The following is a 5,468-nucleotide window of genomic DNA, read 5'->3' on the forward strand; positions in this document are numbered from 1 at the left end:
ATACATTAAGTCATTTAATCCCATAAAATAAAGCATTTCTATAAATTCTCGAAAGGTTGTGAGTATAAAATAGAAATGTGATTTGATAGTGTCTCCAATTTTCAAACACTTCAGTAAAAGACTTTCTGAAAGGTACTAAATCTATGCCATTAAAACCAGTGACAGACTCAATTTTAATCTGCTTGAAAGATTGCCTGGACAGCCATAAATGGTGTATTTCAAACTGTTGCTATCACCTTGGGGATCTTTGCCTACCTGTGGCTAAAATCCTCAGCAGAAGCAGGGATAGGCACTGGTGCTAACCAAGACCCTCCTGAACATCCAAATGTTATCGGGATAATCTCAGTAGTGCCTGAGCAACTTACTTGGTGACTGGTAGTCTCTAAAATTCAGTTGCATTCTCAGTAATCTTGTTCTAAAAAAGCATAGAATGATCATCTATGGCTTCCTAGATTTCATGGATAGGCACTCAAAGACTTTAAAATACTTTAAAAGGCTTTAAAAAAGAACATATATTTGAACATTAGTTTTATTGATAGACAATAAGAACCCAAAATCATAACTTAAAGAATGTAATTCTTGTGAATGGTAGCAAGCCAATAGGTCTGGATTCCAGCCTTAATTCACGGACTACAGACCTTTCGCTGGTTATTTGATCCTCCCCAGGCCTCACTTACTTACACGTATAAAATGAAGAGGCTGATTTATCAGATTTCTGCTAGTGCTAAAGTTTATGATTCTATGAAGAGAAGAGCTTTCTCAAGGCTCTTCACATGCCTCCAATTTAGACTCATGTTTTCTCATAATTCTTTCAGTCTCTGTTAGCTAACTTCTAAACACATTGCTGACACCACATACTCAAAGCTTACTAATGGATTTTGGCTTAGAGTAGTGACTTGACTATCTTTTTCTTGGTTATATGAATCTCTCTCTCTGACCGTAGTTACTTCACGTCATATCTTATCACCCATAAAGCTTACTATTTCTAGGTATGTAACTTCTGCTTTACATTAATCACTTTTCATGTGTGTAGTCTGGTTTCCCAAAATCAAAGCTCAACATCTTTTTTTTTCTTCATGTTCTAGAGCAGAATGCTATATTCACATAACACATGCTTTATAAATATGTGTTGATTCCTACATCCTCTTCTACTAAAGATGAATGAAAATAATTAAATGGTGGAAACCAAATCTTTATCTTTCTGAGATGCTTTGCCTAAGGAAAAACAGGAACAGAAAAAAAGATTGATAATAGTTTTTTTCTAGTAATTTATGTTTTAATTCTAAAAAACTGAAAAATTTAGAACTGAATGAAGTAGAAAAATGTTTTACATTCATCCCCATTCTGTTTCCTAGGATTTAACAATTCAGAGCATAATCTCAGAATCTTCTGATAAATATCCCTAGTGCTTCCTGTAACAACATCTGGAAAAGTGTGAGGTATACTCCATTACCAGAAAGAGGAAGAAAGATAACTCTCTTACTATTCGTCCACTGATAATACAAATAGAATATGGAACAAACAACTACAAAGTAATTCTTCATTTTTCTCAAGTTGTTGCCCTTAGTCCATTCAGAGTCTGCCTGCAATGGACTTTGGAAGGCCTTTCTCATTCCAGTTTCTTTCCTTCTCCACTCCCCACTCCAGATACTTCCCTGTCTGTCCCAGACTATGGAGGACTCCCTCCCTTCTGGAAGGCTCTCAAGGTAATGACACTGGTGCCTGGCTCTCTCCTGGAAGGTCCTGGGAGGTCCTCCTTGGGGGACCTTTTCGGTTTTTCACAATGGAAGCTTTTACACACCTTTCTCTTGCTCATATTAACCAGCTCTCTAGCATAGCTTTGAAGTGTCACCATTCTAAATAAGAAAGGATACCTTACCAAAGAAGTGAGAAATGGAAATAGGAGACGAAGAGGAAGAAAATCAGATCTATTGATCTATCTATCCATCCATCTATTCTATTATCAATTGTAATAATAAATATATAATTCTATAACAAATTCAATATTGTGTAACATAGATACATACATAAAATTATACATAATATACACACATATATAAACATGTTATAGATAGGATTATTCTAAACAAATGTACTAGACATGTTAGTCTACGGCTTGCTTTTTTCACTTAAAACATTACTTTTCACTTACTTTTTTTCACTTAAATTATCACGGATATTTTTCTATGGTAATATATATAAAATTACTCAATTTTTAAAAAGCTATATGTACAATAGCTTATCTAAGCAATCTCCTAAGTATGTATGTTTAGATTAGTTTACACATTTGCTTTGCATATAATGCTGCAATCAAATTGCTGGACTAGATACATGGTCATTACACATTACATATTTATACTGTAAACATTTTAGGATAAATACCTAGAAGTAGAATTGTTGGGTTAAACGATATGCACACTTAAACTTTTAGTTGATACTGCCTACTTACCCTACAAATCTGGTTGTACCTATTCATATTCTTATCAATAGCATGTGGGAACCCTGTCTCATCATGCCCTTATGAATTCAGGATATTTTTAATGTTTTGTAAGATACTTACTAATATGATAAGTGAAAAACAGCATCCTCAAGTCTGAAGTTGCATTTCTATCATTTCATGTGATTTTTAACCATTTGCATTTCTAATTATTTGAAACTGCCTGTTAGTATCTTTTTTTTTTTTTTTTTTTACTGTCCAGTCCATCTATTATTGAAACCATTTTTATTGGAGCTAATCCTCTATCATATTAATGCAAATATACAGATTTATTTTTTTACTTTTAGCTTTGCCTATTATTATTATTTTAATTATTTATTTATTAATTTTAAATCACTTCTGGGAGTTAAATTCAACAATATTTTTCTTTTGGATTTGACATGGTATCTCATGGTAAGGAAGACCTTCCTCCAATATATACTAATGTTTATCCATAAGCTGTTTTTTCTTGTGATTTTTTTATCTACCTGGAAATTATTTTGGAGAAAGATGTGAGAAAATAGAATGTTCTATTTCTTTCTTTTTTCAAACTGGAAAGCCAGTTTTACCACATCATGTATTTTTATTTTCATTTTTTAACTATCGAGTCTCAGATATGTCCTATCATTTAAAAAATATCTTCCCCTTACCACATTGAACTAGGTGTTGTTGTTTATTATTTCTTTCTAGAAATACCAAGCCTGTTATTTATTTTTACAAATTCACTTACCTGTTCTGGCATCCCGTAAGCTTGAGGTCAGACAATACTCAGTCTTCTTCTGTAAACCCCGTTCTTTGGATTTTTTTGGAATCTTGATCTCTAGGAAAGCAATAGAGATACTAAGTATCAGAGGCTTTGGCTGGTTATACAACTTGAGGCCAGTAATATTATCAGAACAATTTATCTTTGTACATTATTCAGGTTAGAAATATATATGATACTTACTTTAATGCTATGAAAAAATATACTTTTGTAATCATTTTAGTGAAAGTTGTATATATTCTTATTTGGCCAGGAAGCTATTTTCAATTTGACATATTTGGAGTGCCAAGTGGGATAATCATTTATTAGATTAATAAGTAACAGTATTATGACAATTGCCATTTTAATTACTTAGTCTTGGAAACCCAAATAGCTCTTAAAAATTGTTTGTTTATACAATATAAATGGGGCATAATATATATAGATCACTCAGTCTAAGTAATCACTGTATAATTTATTTTCCCCTAATTCCCTGGAGTATTATTTTATGAATAACATTTGGTCTAGAATATTGAGATTTTTAAGGAAAACATCTAGGCTGGGTGAGGTGGCTCATGCCTGCAGTCCCAGCACTTTGGGAGGCTGAGGTGGGTGGATCACCTGAGGTCAGGAGTTCGAGACTACCCTGGCCAACATGGAGAAACCCCATCTCTACTAAAAACACAAAAAATTAGCCGGGCATGGTGGTGGGCACCTGTAATTCCAGCTACTTGGGAGGCTGAGGCAGGAGAATTGCTTGAACGTGGGAGGTGGAGGTTGAAGGGAGCGGAGATCGTACCACTGCACTCCAGCATAGGCAATAGAGCAAGACTCTGTCAAAAAAAAGAAAAAAGAAAAAAAGAAAAAAAATTTTTCTTTTTCATTCTACATTACTTAATTTATTTTATCTGCTAAGGTCTGAATTATTGTTTCTCCTGCCAGATTAATATGTTGAAATCCTATCCTTAAGGGGATGGTATTAGGAGGTGGGGGGTGATGTCTTTGGGTGTGATTAGGTTATAGGAGGCAGAGGCCTCATGAATGTGATTACTGCTCTTATAAAAGAGGCCTGAAAGAAATCCCTCACACCTTTGCCAGGTGAGGCTACAGTGAAAAGATGGCCATCTAGGAAGTGAGTCCTCACCAGATACCCAATGCTGGTGTCTTGATCTTGGACTTCCCAGTCCCTAGACCTGTGAAAAATAAGTATCTGTTGTTTATAAGCCACCCAATTTATGATCTTTTGTCATAGCAGCTTGAAAAGATTGAGACATATACTTCTGTCTTTCTTAAGCATTATAAAAGCTTTAGTGATATAATTTTGAAATTCTGATAATCACCTGAGCAAATCTAAGGATCAGAGCAGCAAAAAAAGAGAATAAAGAAATCAGAAGAGTTTTGGAAACAATAATAGGTTATAACAGTTAAAACACAATGTTAGGGAGTAGGAAGTTATTCCTTCTGGCTGCAAATATCCCCTATTCTGTAACATATATATATAAAAGTGTTATTTCAGCTGAAATTAACAATATGAAAAACAGAATGCATTTCACATGCTTTTACAGGAGTAAATTGTGTGTTACGGCAATATCAATAAATAACAGACACATTGATGTTTTCTCTCGTAAACTTTAGAGCTGGACATCTCTGGGTTTAAGTCTCATATCTGACATTGACTGGATGTGTGAACTTGGGCAAGTTAATTTTGCTAAGCCTCATAAAATAAACTCTCACATAATTTTTGAGATGGCACATAGTCTTGGCGTTAAAAATATTAGCTGTTAATAGTGTACTGCTACTAAAGCTTTTGAGATTTCACAGTTACCCAGGAACTGAGGAACCATAACAGCCAGTTCTCATTCACTCAGCAAACTGAAAAAAAAAAAAAAAAAAAAAGTTGTAGAAACCCTTACCTTAGCATATCTTCAGGAACAATCAGCAGTTAATTAAATTTGAAGCTGTTAGACTAAAGTGATAGAGAATACAAGTAAGAGCTAGTGAAAAAATCAGAAGACACAGCAAAAATGGAGATTCACAAAACAGGCTGGGAAGAGATGAGAATTGAAAATATAATGATATTTACTAAGAGCATTTTTGATAGAACAATACTGCTGACTCCTCTAAAACATACTCTAAATAATATTTTTACTTTAAAAATATATTACTTTATTGTTTATTCTTTTTTATTCCACTTTTAGTGTCATTGCTTTAGTATTTTTGCAGCTTTGTTGAGATATAAGAAAAAGTTGC

At 33.7% G+C, this 5,468-nt stretch overlaps 1 long non-coding RNA gene across 1 annotated transcript; it reads right to left on the reverse strand.

The window, feature by feature from the left end:
• Positions 1-263: 263 nt before the first annotated feature.
• On the reverse strand, positions 264-5,193 carry LOC107986826 (uncharacterized). The gene is made up of 3 exons (XR_001745292.1): positions 5,132-5,193; positions 3,207-3,296; positions 264-415 (listed from the first exon to the last, which is right to left on the reverse strand). It is a non-coding gene; the product is annotated as an uncharacterized LOC107986826 (long non-coding RNA).
• Positions 5,194-5,468: the final 275 nt, after the last annotated feature.

This window comes from Homo sapiens, chromosome 7, assembly GCF_000001405.40.
Source record: "Homo sapiens chromosome 7, GRCh38.p14 Primary Assembly".
Taxonomy (NCBI): domain Eukaryota; kingdom Metazoa; phylum Chordata; class Mammalia; order Primates; family Hominidae; genus Homo; species Homo sapiens.